The 14,658-nt window shown below is 50.0% G+C and overlaps 1 protein-coding gene across 21 annotated transcripts in view, besides 2 other annotated features; it reads right to left on the minus strand.

Moving 5' to 3' along the window:
• Positions 1-11,970, minus strand: part of ITGB7 (integrin subunit beta 7) — a 15,929-nt gene extending 3,959 nt beyond the window's left edge. For 4 of the 21 annotated variants that reach the window (NR_182253.1, NM_001414169.1, NM_000889.3 and 1 more), the window contains exons 1-9: positions 11,921-11,970; positions 5,791-5,913; positions 4,962-5,165; positions 2,469-2,670; positions 2,212-2,382; positions 1,298-1,539; positions 760-918; positions 345-440; positions 93-182 (exon numbers count right to left, since the gene is read on the minus strand). Coding sequence is in view for 18 of the 21 variants with exons in the window: in NM_001414169.1 (NP_001401098.1) it covers positions 93-182; positions 345-440; positions 760-918; positions 1,298-1,539; positions 2,212-2,382; positions 2,469-2,670; positions 4,962-5,162 (1,161 nt within the window). In the remaining 3 variants the exon portion in view is untranslated. Of the gene's footprint in view, positions 1-92; positions 183-344; positions 441-759; positions 919-1,297; positions 1,540-2,211; positions 2,383-2,468; positions 2,671-4,961; positions 5,173-5,790; positions 5,914-11,392; positions 11,524-11,920 lie in introns of those variants that run through there. The other 17 variants (NR_104181.2, NM_001414171.1, NM_001414156.1 and 14 more) reach the window with 10 other exon arrangements.
• Positions 5,350-5,579: an enhancer, noted in NCBI's record as "active region_6403". NCBI's record gives its function as "activates an Ori minimal core promoter by ATAC-STARR-seq in GM12878 lymphoblastoid cells {active_cell/tissue: GM12878}" and the evidence as "EXISTENCE:reporter gene assay evidence [ECO:0000049][PMID:35858748]".
• Positions 10,010-10,099: an enhancer, noted in NCBI's record as "active region_6404". NCBI's record gives its function as "activates an Ori minimal core promoter by ATAC-STARR-seq in GM12878 lymphoblastoid cells {active_cell/tissue: GM12878}" and the evidence as "EXISTENCE:reporter gene assay evidence [ECO:0000049][PMID:35858748]".

Genomic DNA, 14,658 nt, shown 5'->3' on the forward strand with positions numbered 1-14,658 from the left:
TTTCCTCTTAGTTCTGCCACCCCACCCAAGGGCCCCTTTCCACCTTTCCCTAGTGCCCACCCTCACCATCTCCCCTTCCCCTGGCCCCTCACATTATAAGCATCCATGATGAGCTGTACCACGTTGCTGGAGTCCTCACTCAGCTCCCCAACTGCAGACTTAGGAATCAGTTTACTCAGCTCCTGAGTTTTGGGGAGTTAAGGGAAATGGTGGGTCACAGCTCTAGGAAAATGGGCTCCCGGAGGTCTGGAAGGAGGGCATATGGGGGACGGAGAATGTATCTTTGGGGGAATTGAGAAAGGTTGGGATGGGGCTGGGGGATCTGACATGTAGACAGCTCTCACCTGGTAGACAGGCAGTGCGGCACTGGTGACAGCAAAGATGGGCTGGATATTTGCTGCAGAGAGGGCCTGGGCTACCTGACCCACAGAAGGGTAGTCCTGGGACAGGGAGCAGGGACAAGGTGAGCCCCACAGGTTTCCCCCACAACATGCAAGGTGCCCTCAGCCCAGGGAATCCAGGAACCAAGGTTCCACCAGCTGGAGGAGCCCTGGAGGCTTGCTATGGAATAGGAAGGAGGTAGGGAATGGGGTGACAAAGGTGTCCTGTCTCGGCAGCTGAAAGGAGGAACTGCTGGAGAAGATGGCAGGGTGTCTACAGGGTGGTTACTGGTGAGGACTGTAAGGCTGGGAGTGGGAGTCCTGGAAGGAAAGAGGTGTGGCTGAAATGGGGAGAGGCAGGGTGACAATAGGGACTCACAAACTCTGTGCTGCGACTGTAGAGGCCATTGCTGTCCAAGTGGCAGTGCCCATCACTGGGCATGAAAATGCCGCCCAACTTCCCGTCCCCAGCTGTATGGAATGTGTCGTCTGAAGTGAACACCAGCAGCCGGGACACATTTCTCCAGCCAATCTGCTCCTGAGTTACAGTGGGGGTGGTAGGCTATGCACCTGGGCATGGCCCTTGAGCCACCCCAGCCAGCTCTGTGAGCCAAGAATGTGGCCAGCCTCACTCTGAGTCAGCTTGTCCATCCCCTTGCCTCCAGTACCTTGCTTCTCCCTGCTCTCTCCAGCCCCCTAAAGAAGGCTGCTGCTAGTGGAGGCTTACTTGTGAATTCGAAAAACATGCCTCCTCCTCAAGATATTTTACTCCAACCCACCAGGTAATTGCTAAATATACAAACTACAGCAACTATGGTATGAATGGCACCCCCTAGAACTGTGCACTACACAACCATAAGGGGCAGTCCTGTTCCCAAACAGACCTCCAGGCTCAGATCCCCGCCCCACCTCCTCACCTGGCAGAGTGCAGCCTGCAGAATGGCATCGAAGCCACCTTCAGGCGAGTCCAGATTGCCGGACACACTCTGGCGCCCCACCTCCCGCTCGAAGGCTTGTGCGTCCCCCGTCAGGGACAGCACATGGTGAAAGCTGAATGGTGACTGGCAGCGCTCCAGCCGGGTGGGGCAGGGGTGGCGCAGTTTGGAGGGTACTGTGCTCACAAAGGGCAGCACCGTTTTGTCCACAAAGGAACCAAAACCTGGGAGAGGAGAGGAATGAAGGTTGTGCCAGAAGTCGCAGGGCAGCAACAGAGGACCCATGAGAGCGCTCTATGGGAAGTGGGGTGGGGAGGACGGTGATGGGAGAGGGTGCACCTAGGGGGCAGGGACCTGGTAACTGGCAAGCAAAGCAGTGAGACCACTGGCTCAGGGAAGTGGCAGGTAGAAGACATTAAGAGGAGGACACAACTTCCTGGGCAAATGGGAACTTCCAGAAGGCGGAAGAAGGCCCGGGTATAGGATATGGTAGCAGCATGAGGCAAAGGAAGGAAATTTGAATAGAGGAGAGTTGGCACAGAATGTGGAGCCAGGGACAGTGGCATCTAGGTCTTGTCCAGGGAGACTTGCATCAGGGCAGGTTCCAGGTTGGTAGGCCCAGGGCAGCTGTCCAGGCCCAGAGAGTGCCTGAGCACAGTCTCTCCAGACGCTGGGTCTCAGGCCTGTAAAACGGATAGTCTCTTGAGTCCTCTCCAGCTCTGACCTAGAAGATGGGTGTCTAGGGAGAGATGCAGGAACGAACCTGTGGCCTGGCTAGGCCTGTCAACAACTGGGAGGGCAAGTTGGGGCCCTTGTGAGTCCAGGATGTTGGCAGAGGCTAGGGCAGTGGTTGAATAGGCAAGGGCTAACAGGGCGGGAGGCAGCGCTCGGCTCACCAATGCGCACAGAATGGGTGACTTCCTGCAGCCGGACCAGCAGAGCGTGCCCGAGCTGGCGCACGCGTTCCAGGTCGTCCTTCATGGAGTAGCTCAGGTCCATAAGGTAGTACAGGTCCACCGGGTATCCCTCAGCACGAAGGAAGCGGACCTGGAGCTGCTGGGGCTCCCCTAGGGGGTGGGCGGCGGGCGGGTCAGCAGAGCGCATTGGAACGCCAGCCTAGACCTCTGGCCTGGCCCCGCCTCCCCTAACTCACCAGGCCGCAGCGTGACCCGGACCCGCTGCGGCGCCAGCTGGGTGGCACCCTCTCCGCGGGCGCCCTGGCTGAGCGGCTGGTCCTGCAGCACCTCCTGCTGGCCGCGGGGCTCCTCCAGCTCCTCCAGCGGGCAGCCTCGAGCCAGCAGCTCCTCTCGTCGGGCGCAGCGCCGCGCCTCCGCCTCTCCCGACGCGGTGAAGTTCTGCTCAGCAAGAAAAGGCGCGTCGGGACCCGGTCCTGCATAGGCCCTGGGCCCCGCTCCCAAAAACACCCTGCAAACCCGGCCACCTCTAATGCCCCCACCTCCAGTCCACTCCTTGAGTCCCTGATTCCCTCCCCTCTTCCTCGCCACAGCTACCCTTGAACTCCGGTCTTTTTTGTTGTTTTGTTTTGTTTTTGAGACGGAGTCTCACTCTGTCACCCAGGCTGGAGTGCTGCGGTGCTATCTCCGCTCACTGCAACCTCCACCTCCCGGGTTCAAGTGATTCTCGTACCTCAGCCTCCCGGTAGCTGGGACTACAGGCATGTGCCACCACGCCCAGGTTTTTTGTATTTTTAGTAGAGACGGGATTTCCCCATATAGGTCAGGCTGGTCTCAAACTTTTGACCTCAAGTGCGCCCACCTCAGCCTCCCAAAGTGCTGGGATTACAGACGTGAACCACCACGCCTTTTTTTTTTTTCCTACTGTAAAGACAGGGTCTTGCTTTTTTGCCCAGTCTTGTTTCGAACTCCTGGCCCCAAGAAATCCTCCTGCCCCAGCCTCCCAAAGTACTGGGATTACAGGCATGAACCGCCACCGGTGGAACTCTGGTCCTTTCTTCCTTGTCAGAGCCCCACTTCCTATAGCAGTCCCCCACCCCTCCCCTATCTCAACTCCCCCTTGCCCCAGCCACCTACCCCTCTCCTCCCCAATAGAGTCACAGACTTCCTGTTGAGATCTTAGAGACTTCACTACCACAAAAAAACAGGGGCCTTGCCTCCTAGGCCAACCTCCCCAGCAAGCTCACACCAAAATGGGAAGGTGGTCAGACTAAGACCCACAGCTCCTTGGAAAGGAAAGGATAAGAACAGAAGAGGAGGCGTCCTCCCCACCAATATGTCTGGTATCCCTGGGACTGGTTGGGAAGCCACAGGGGAAGGAAATGGTTAGAGCGGCTTCTCAGCTGGCCCTAGGTGTCAGGAGACTGGAGAAGCCAGACACAGACCTGACCATCTCAAGAGCGCCAGCTCCCCAGCTCCAGCCTGGCACCTCTGCCTCTCTGCCTTGTGCAGACTCAGTATCTACCCTTCTTGTCCAGTCAGATTCACTGTGTGCCTTTCTCCTGGGTCCCTGTGTGCCTTTCTCCTGGGTCCTCTAAGCATCTGTAGCTCTGCTTCCATGTGAATTTGCCCCCATCTCTTATCTGGGCTCCCACACTGATCTAACCCTCCATCTTACACTGAGAGAGGCAGACCTGCCCCCATCCCAGCTTGGGCACCCCTCCTGCTCTGCTGCTCCATGAGTTCTGTCTCTTTAAAGCATAAACAAACAACAGCTTTGTTTGAAGAGCCAGGGAGACACCTGCTCCCTAGCATCCTTCTTGGCCACTTAGGTAGCTCAAGCCTTTCCAGTCCCCCTCAAGCCCATATGCTTCCACCCCTTCCCTTTCTACCTGTCCAGTCATAGGCTACTACACACCCAGGAACAGAATGCCTCCACCCAAAACACAGACTTAGAAATCTAACCACACACTTGCTGCTATGGACTGAACTCTGCACCCCTACCCCTCCCCACCCCCACCCCATCCTCTGTTGAAGCCCTAACCCTCCATGTGATGGTATTTGGAGATGGAGCCTTTGGGAGGTACCTAGGCTTAGATGAGGGCCTAAGGGTGGAACCCTCATGATGGAATTAGTGCGCTTACAAGAAGAGAGGCAGTTCCCACCCCCATCCCCCAACCCCATCCCCACTATGTGAGGACACAGCGAGAAGGTAGCCAGTCTGCAAGCAAGGAAGAGGGCCCTAACTGAGGAACCAAATCAGCCAGCACTTTGATCTTGGACTTCCCAGCTTCCAACATTAGGAGAAATGAATTCCTGTTGCTTAAACCACCCAGCTTATGGTATTTTGTTATGGCAGCCCGCACTGGGTAGTACCTTTCTCCCATGTTTACATACACAACAGCTCCCTCTACCTATACACAAGCATGAATTCCCACAAGCACATACTTTCTCCCAATTCATGGTCACAAATTCTCTCCATATATACACAAGCAAATGGATACAGACATAATCCTAAGTGCACAAGAAACTTGCATGCATGTGTATGCACACACGTATATCCACACACAGGAGTCCTATGTGCACAAACTCAGTCACACATGAGACTGTGGAGTGTTCCCAGAAAATCATACATGTGCCCACACAATCACACACATATATCCAGGCTGCACATACATATACACATACACATACACATACACATGGTTCAAAGACCATAGGCCCATCTTTACCAGTTGCTTGCACCATGCACAGCTGGGGTGTGAGAGGATGCACTTCTGGCAGGAGGGGGCTGGCTGGCAGGACCCCAGCATGGACAGGTGAGGATTCCGCCATTCTGTGGCATCCCCTGTGGATGGGATCTTGGCGTCCAATTCACTCTCACCTCTGCTCAGGACCAGCAGCAAAACAAGGACCATTGGCAAAGCCACCATGCCCTGTAATAGGATATAAAGGGGGACATGTGGGTCCTCAGGGAGGACTCTCAAACTCTCAGTCCTCTAAACTTAGCTTGTGGTTATCACTCTCAAAACTCTGCCCCAACACTTTATCTCCCCTCATAGTTTCACTTCCCCTGTGGATTCAGCAGTTTCTTCAAAATAATGGGAAGGAGCAGGTATCACGCAAAGGTAGGGGCCTCCGGACGTGGTGGCTCATGCCTGTTATCTCAGCACTTTAGGAAGCCAAGGTGGGTGGATCACCTGAGCTCAGGAATTCGAAACCAGCCTAGTCAACATGGCGAAACCCCATCTCTACTAAAAATACAAAAATTAGTCAGGCATGGTGGCGTGCACCTGTAATCCCAGTTACTCAGGAAGCTGAGGCAAGAGAATTGCTTGAACCAGGGAGGCGGAGGTTGTAGTGAGCCGAGATCACACCACTGCACACCAGCCTGGGTGACAAAGCAAGAATCTGTCTTAAAAAAAAAAAAAATAGGGGCCTCAGAGAAGATCTGTCCTTCCTGTGTGCAGACTTCATGTGGCCAAGGTGGGCAAAATGGCCTACTAAAGGATTTGGGGACTGAGCCTGAAAGCACTAAAGTCTGCACCCAGTTCTATTTACCGAGATCCCAAGCCGTAGTGGTAGAAGAGCCAAACAGGAAACAGACCAGATTCTGGTGCTGCTGCAGTCACTCACTGGCTGTGGGGCAAGTCAGACTTTCTCTCTGGGCTTTAGTTTCCACATCTGCAAAGTGGAGAAGTTGAATAAATAGTCTGACATACTTGGCGGCTTTTACAATCTTGGATTCTAAATAAGAGAAGAGGGTCAGTGACTGGGAATTAAAGAAAAGAAAGCTGGAGCAGATGAGGGAGTGTGTGAAAGAGTCAAGGAAGAATAGTTCTGCTTGGTTGACATGGTAGCAAGAGGAATGAAGATTAGACCACAAGAACTCTCTGCAGGTCTGGGATAAGGGGAGAAAGGCCAGTGTTGGCAAAAAAATTTTCTACTTTCTGTACTTTGCACAAAGATAATCTAGATTGAAGAAAGAGCCTGGAGACAGGGTAATACCTTGAGTGACCTTCAGGAAAGCCAAGCAAATTCCTGATTTTAAAAAAACATATTAATTTTTTAAAATGAGCAGGTAATTCATTTACCACGCTTCATAAGTCAAAAAGTTAAATCCCATTGGCCCTTTTTTTTTTGCAGAAATGGAAAAGCTGATCCTAAAATTTATATGGAATTGCTCGGAACCCCAAATAGCCAAAATAATCTTGTAAAAAAGATACTGCAAAGCTACAGTGATCAAGACAGCATTGGCTGGTCGCAGTGGCTCATGCGTGTAATCCCAGTGCTGGTGAGAAGACAGCTTGAACCCAGTAGTTTGAGGCTGCAGTGAGCTATGATCGTGTCACTGTACTTTGCCCTGGGCAACAGAGTGAAACCCTGTCTCTTAAAAAGAAAAAAAGAAGACAGTGTGGTACTGGCATAAGGATACACATATATTATACATCAGTGGAATAGAATTGAAAGAGTCCAGAAATAAACTATGCTTCTGTGGCCAATTGATTTCCAACAAGGGTGCCAAACCATTCAATGAGAAAAACTGTCTTCAAAAAATGGGGCTGGGGCTGGGCACAGTGGCTCATGCCTGTAATCCCAGCACTTTGGGAGGCCGAGGCAGGTGGATCACTTGAGGTCAGGAGTTCGAGACCAGCCTGGACAACATGGTGAAACCCCGTCTCTACTAAAAATACAAAAACTAGCTGGGTGTGGTGGTGGGCGCCTGTAATCCCAGCTACTCAGGAGGCTGAGGCAGGAGAATCACATGATCCCAGGAGGCAGAGGTTGCAGTGAGCTGCAATTGTGCCACTGCCCTGCAGCCTGGACAACAGAGTGAAACTCTGTCTTTTTTGTTTTGTTTTGTTTTTTTGAGATGGAGTCTTGCTCAGGCTGGAGTGCAGTCGCGCCATCTCAGCTCACTGCAACCTCTGCCTCCCAGATTCAAGCAATTCTCTGGCCTCAGGCGCCCAAGTATCTGGGACTACAGGCATGCGCCACCACACCCGACTAGTTTTTGTATTTTTAGTAGAGAGAGGGTTTGACCACATTGGCCGGGCTGGTCTCAAACTCCTGACCTCAAGTGATCCACCTGCCTCAGGCTCCCAAAGTGCTGGGATTACAGGCATGAGCTGGGATTACATGCCCAGCTGAAACTCCATCTTTAAAAAAAGGCCAGGTACCGTGGCTCATGCCTGTAATCCCAACACTTTGGGAGGCCGAGACAGGCAGATCACAAGGTCAGGAGTTCAAGACCAGCCTGGCTAACATAGTGAAACCCCGTCTCTACTAAAAATACAAAAATTAGCCGGGTGTAGTGGCACACGCCACCACTTTTTCTCAAAAAATAAAAGGTGCTTTCAACATGCAAAAGAATGAAGTTGGACCCCCTCCCCACCTCACACCATATACAAAGGTTAACTGAAAAGAGATCAAAGCCCTAAATATAACTACTAAAACTATAAATTCTTAGAAGAAAGTATATAGGTAAATCTTCATAATCTTGGACTTGGTAATGGATTCTTAGCTGTAATACCAAAAGCACAAACAACAAAAGGAAAAACAGATACATTGGACTTCATCAAAAATTTAAAGTTTTGTGCATCAAAGACAATGTCAAGAGAGCGAAGACAACCCACAGAATGGGAGAAAATATTTGCAGATTATATATCAGATGAGTATCCTTAATATATAACGAACTCTTACAATTCAACAACAAAAAGACAACCCAACTTTCAAAATGAGCAAAAGACTTAAAAAGACATTTCTTCAAAGAAGATAGACAAATAGCCACCCAGCAAATGAAAAGATGCTCAACACTATTAATCATTAGGAAAATGCAAATGAAACCCACAATGATCTGGGTATGGTGGCTCACACCTGTAATCCTAGCACTTTGGGAGGCTGAGGTGGGTGGATCACTTGAGGTCAGGAGTTCAAGACCGGCCTGGGCAACATGGTGAAACCCCATCTTTGCTAAAAATACAAAACTTAACTGGGCATGGTGGTACATGCCTGTAGCTCCAGCTACTCGGGAAACTGAGGCACAAGAATCGCTTGAACCCGGGAGGCAGAGGCTTCAGTGAGCCAAGATCGGGCCACTGCACTCCAGCCTAGGCGACAGAGCGAGACCCTGTCTCAAAAAAAAAAAAAAAAAAAAAAAAGAAAGAAAGAAAAGAAAAGAAGAAGAAAAAAACCACAATGAGATACCACTTCACTTCTACTAGAATGACTATCAAAAAATGAAAAACAATGAGTGTTGATGAGAACATGGAGAAATTGGGATCTTTATACATTACCGTGTAAGGAATGTAAAGTGGTACAATCTCTGTGGAAAACAATTTGGTTCCTCAATAAATTGAGCATAGGATTATCCTATAACCTGGCAATTTCACTCTTAGGTATATACTCAGAAGAATTGAAAACAGGTGTTCAAACAAAAACTGGTACAGAAATGTTCACAGCAGCACTACTCACAATAGCTAAAAGGTAGAAAGAACCCAGATGTCCATCAACTGATGAATGGATAAAGAAAAGGTGGTATATCCATACAGCAGAACGTTATTTGGCCATAAAAAGCAATGAAATGGGTCTGGGCACAGTGGCTCACGACTGTAATCCCAGCACTTTGGGAGGCCGAGGCGGGTGGATCACTTGAGATCAGGAGTTCAAAACCAGCCATACCAACATGGTGAAACCCCATATCTACTAAAAATACAAAAATTATCCAGGCATGGTGGTGGTCTCCTGTAACCCTAGCTACTTGGGAGGCTGAGGCAGGAAAATCGCTTGAACCCAGGAGGCGGAGGTTGCAGTGAGCCGAGATTGTGCCATTTCATTCCAGCCTGGGCAACAAGAGCAAAACTCGGTCTCAAAAAAAAAAAAAAAATGAAGTACTGATACATACATGCTACAACATGGATGAACCTTGAAAACATGCTCAGTGAACAAAACCATTCATGAAAGGTCACATATTGTATGATTCCACATATGGAACATATCCAAACTAGAAAAATCCACAGAGACAGAAGGTAGATTAGTGGTTACCAGAGCTTGGGAGAAGGGGAAGTGGGGAATGACTGCTTAATGGGCAGTTTCATTTTAGGGTGATGAATAAGTTCTGGAATTAGTGAATGTACTTAATGCCACTGAATTGTACACTTAAAAGGGGTAAAAATGATAAATGTTTGTGTATCTTACCATTTTAAAAATCAAAAAGTTAAATAAGATGGTGAGAAATCTCCTACTCCATATGCCATACCCAGTTCCCACACCTACCCTAAATAAATATCATTTACTACTATCTTTGTTTCTTTTTTCTTTACCTTTTTTTTTTTTTTTTTTTTGGCAGAGTCCCACTCTGTCGACCAGGCTGGAATGCAGTGGCGTGATGTACAACCTCTGCCTCCTGGGTTCAAGTGAGTCGTGTGCCTCATCCTCCTGAGTAGCTGGGATTACAGGTGTGAGCCACCACACCCAGCTAATTTTTGTGTTTTTAGTAGAGACAGAGTTTCACTATGTTGGCCAGGCTGGTCTCGAACCCCTGACTTCAAGTGATCCACCCACCTCGGCCTCCCAAAGTGCTGGAATTACAGGCATGAGCCACTGTGCCTGGCCTTAAATTGTTTCTAGTTCCCTATGACAAATAATGCTGAAATGAAAAGTAATGTATGTATTTATTTATTTATTCATTTGAGAGATAGGGTCTTGCTCTGTCACCCGGCTGTAGTGTACTGGTGCAATCATGGCTCACTGCTGCCTTGACCTTGCCGGCTCAATTGATCCTTCCACCTCAGCCTCCCGAGTAGCTGGTACTACAGGCGCATGCTACCATGTCTGGCTAATTATTTTTGTATTATTTTGCAGAGATGGGGCTTCCCCATGTTGCCCAGGCTGGTCTAGAACTCCTGAGCTCAAGCGACCCACCTGCCTCGGCCTCCCAAATTGCCGTGATTACAGGCGTGAGCCATCACCCCCAGCCAAATGTCATGTATTTATCATTTCACACGTCTGCAACTGAATCTGTAGGATAAATCCCTAGCAGAGGACGTGCAGGATAACTAGATAGGTATCATTTGTAATACTGGTGTGTATTTCATCTACATTCTCATGCTAAGAAATATATATATATAGGTGGGTATTGCCAACATAAACTCTTCAGGACTTGTACTGGTCCACATTCCCATCAGCAATGTATGAGAAAGGCCAACTAACTCCTTGTCATAAACCATTTGCATCTTCTTCAGCCTGGGCCCAGAGTCAGGTCCAGATACTCTGCACAGAGTGTGGGAAAGGGGTGGGGTGTTGAGTCCTTGAATGTCCTGGTCCTGCTCCCCACCACCTGTGACCTCAGGCGCCATATATAACGGAGCCTCCACCCCTCGGGGAGAGGCCAGTCCCAGCTCAGCCTCAGCGTAACCTCAGCCCTGCTTGCTCTGCATGCCTGTGGTCAGGGAGGCTGGAGATGCTGCAACCCAAAGCCGGGTTTTGACTCATCTCTCACAAGTGGAGCCCCGGCTGCCGCATAGGTTTTTCAGAGACCTTAGGCCCACTCATCTCCCCTTAAAGGGGGCCCTGGGACTTCCTGGACAGCCCTTTCCTACCTTTCTTTCCAATTATCCTCTCTTCTCCCCTCCTTGAGAATACATGTTCTGCCACCTATTTCTCTGTCTGCTTCTCTGTCTCTCTCTGGCTCCTTTCATTTCAAAACTTCTATTGCATCTCTCTGCTGCTTTTCTCTGCTCCACTTCTTCATAGGGCTATTTTACTTCCTTTTCCCCTCTGTTCCTAACTATAGAATGGCTGAATCTACTACTCCATCCCACTCTTTTTACAAATGGAAACCTAAATTCCATGAGGCCAGGGTCACCCAGTGAACTAGGGGCAGGGCAGGACAGGGCAGGGCCAGGCCTCTGCTGTGCTTTCTCCTTTCCTCCCTCCAACCCAGGCACTATCTCCATCAAAAGTTGTGTTCTCTCCCCACTAGCCCTGGTGGGCTCTGCCTAATCCCATTTCTCTTTCCTTAGGGGTATTCTGCAGTCTTCCCTTCTCTCTCTGGGACCAAGTGGTTATTTCCATTTTTCTGGACTCCATTCTGACTCCAGTACACACCCTGTGACCCCCCTCAGCAGCTGAGAAACAGAGCCTCTTCCAAACCCATCCCTACCTTCCAAATCAAGCAGAACCCTCTGCTGCCCACTGGGAGTCACAAGGAGGGGACGGAACTGAGCTGCTGGGCCTCAGTGTCCCAGGACAGTGGAGTCTGTGACCAAGGTGCCGATTAGGAAGAAGTCTGAGCTGAAGGCAGAGCATTAGGGATAGCAGCTGGGGGTGATGTTGGAAGAACCCTCCCTCAGTATAATCGGTATACCTGCCCTACTTCGGTATAGTCCTTGGCACATGGCAGGCACTCAGATGACAGCACTCATATACATCCCTGCCTCCAGACCCACTCATGGGAAACTGATGCAGGAGAGATTGGGCTTTTGGAGAGGTGGAGGTGGGGGTACTGTGAAACTGGAGGAGGGAACCAGGTCAGGGGATCTTAGGAATGCAGAAAGGAGTTCAGAGCCTTTCTCAAGTCTGGACAGGACCCTCGGTATCCAGGTCAGAGCCCTCTTCCCAAGAGGTTGGGACCAGGTGGGCCAGAGCTTGTAAGGAGAGGAGGCAGAAGGGCTGGTGCCCTGGTACTCACAGGTGCGTGCAGAGCAGTCCTTCCTCTGGCGGCAGCAGCAGCCTTTGTGTACTGATCTGGGAGACGGCAGAGGAGGAAGTGACACTCCCCAGGGTGGGGAAGATTTGGGGTTGGTGGGGGTGACTGATCTAGAAGGTGGTGCAGATAGGGGTGGGGCTGAGCCAAGGGAGTGGACAATACAGAGATCTGGAAGAAAGAAGCCCATTTATTGAACCCCTGTCATGTGTTGAACGTAACATATTACAATTAACCCTCACAACAATCTCATAAGATAGGGGTTAATATTCCCCCAAGCCCCAATTTTACAGATGCAGAGATTGAGGCTTGGAAGCAGGAAATAAAGAATTTTGCCCAAGGTCCCACAGCTAGTAAGTAGCTAGTCTAGGATTTAAAAAAAAAAAAGAAAAAAGATTTTTATTTTAAATTTTTATTATTTTATTTTTTTTATTTTAATTTAATTTAACTTTTGAGACAGGGTCTTGCTCTGTTTCCCAGGCACAATCTCAGCTCACTGTCCCATGGCACAATCTCAGCTCACTGCAAACTCCGCCTCCCAGGTTCAAGCGATTCTCCTGCCTCAGCCTCCCGAATAGCTGGGATTACAGGGGTGCACTACCATGCCCAGCAACGTTTTATATTCTTAATAGAGACGGGGTTTCACCATGTTGGCCAGGCTGGTCTCAAACTCTTGACCTCAATTGATCTGCCCACCTCGGCCTCCCAAAGTGCTGGGATTACAGGTGTGGGCCACCATGCCCAGCCTGTTTTTTATTTTTGAGACAGGGTCTTGCTGTGTTGCCCAGGCTGGTCTGTAACTCCTGGACTCAAGCAATCCTCCCACTTTGGCCTCCTGAGTAGCTGGGATTACAGGCACACTCGGCTGGTCTGGGATTTAAATCCAGGTCTGCCTGCCTCCAAAATTCATGATCTCTCCATTTACTTATATAGGAAGGAACATGATAGGAGGGAATAGGGGCAGTAAGTACTGTAGAGAGGCCAGAAATTACAGACTTGTTCATTTTGAAAACCCAGGATACATTATATAAGTGTGCTTGACTACATAGGCTCTGGAGCCAAGTTGCTAGAGTTCAAATCCTGGCTCTACTACTTACTAGTAGTAAGGAGCTTAGCTGAGTTACTTAAACCTGCCTGCAGCTGTTTTCTCATCTGTCCAGCAAGACTCACAGGATTGTCGTGAGAATTAAAAGAGATAATTCATATCAATTGCCTACAAGACTACCTGGCACATACTAAGTAAGGGCTTGATAAGAGAATTAGTAGGGATGAGAAGTAGCAGAGGTGAGAAGTGAAGAGGCTTTGAGAAATTCAAGGTCCACACAACTGGAAACTTGGAAGAGAGAGGCATAGGGCCAGGCTCAGAGCATGTGATTGGGGAACCAGGAGCCAACACAGTAGTGGATCCTGGGAAAGGGGTGGAGGAGGTGAACTGGGAGAAGCAGAGAGTGCAGGAACAACAGCTGAAGCCAAGGCAAGGATGAAGCCCGTAGGGAGAGCAGGAAAATATTAATGGGATTTGCTCCTGGCCCATACAGATCACTAAGAGCTTTGAGAGGGAACTAGACATGAGGTCTGTGTTCACAGGTCGATCTCCCCTACCAGAAGGAGCACTCCTTGTAGGCAGGGACTGGCTCTACAAGGCTTCCCTGCTGGAGCCACCACACCTAGCCAAGTGCCCATCTTATAGTAGGTGCTCAATAAATGTCAGATGGATTGCAGAGGTGTAGCTGCTAGGAGGGGACAATTGGAGAGGAGGGGCTCTTTCTCTGGGTGGGCTTGGCTGGCCTCAGGCTATGGGATAGCCAGGACCTATACCCTTCCCCCACAACCAGGGGTTACCACGGCAATGACCCTCCTTCCCCACAGGCCCTGTGGTTTCCTCTAGAGCTTCTTTCACTTTCTTCTTCTGCTTTCCGCCCTCCACTCTTCTCTCCCCTACTCCCACATCCTCAACTTTTTTGTCATAACCACAGGTCACCAATGAAGAGAGCCAGGAACAAGGTAGGCAAGGCACTGTCCCAGGGAAGGTAGGACACGGAGGAGGGGCTTGAGGGGAGTCACAGAGGGCGAAGGGAAGAGTACAGGGTGCAGCAGTAGAGGCCAAAGGCACTGCAAAGGCGTGTTGCAGAGGGAAGGCGTGTGGGAGCAAGGACAGATATTCGGAAAGAAGGTAACAGTGCAGGTGGCAGTGAGTGGAGGTCATGGGGTGAAGAGTGGGAACAGAGAGGGTGGGGGGAGTAAGGTATAAGGTGATAGCAGGGTGGTTGGGGACAGAAGGCCAGAGGGCTCCCTGGGTGAGGGGCTGGTGTAAAACAGTAACACTGTAGCTTAGATGCGGGCTTCTTCTCTTCTGGGGCCAGGAGCCCTCATGAGAACTAAATGAAACTTCAGGGCAGGCATGGTGGCTCACGCCTGTAATCTCAACACTTTGGGAGGCTGAAGTAGGTGGATCACTTGAGGTCAGGAGTTCGAGACCAGCCTAGCCAACATGGTGAAACCCCATCTCTACTAAAAATACAAAAATTAGCTGAGCATGGTGGTGCGCCCCTGTAATCCCAGCTACTTGGGAGGCTGAGGCAGGAGAATCGCTTGAACCCGGGAGGCAGAAGTTGCAGTGAGCCAAGATCACACCACTGCACTCCAGACTGGGCAACAGGAGTGAAATTCCGTCTCAAGAAAAAAAATGAAAAACAAAAAGATAAATAAAACTTCAATGGACT

Source organism: Homo sapiens, chromosome 12, assembly GCF_000001405.40.
Source record: "Homo sapiens chromosome 12, GRCh38.p14 Primary Assembly".
NCBI classification, from domain to species: domain Eukaryota; kingdom Metazoa; phylum Chordata; class Mammalia; order Primates; family Hominidae; genus Homo; species Homo sapiens.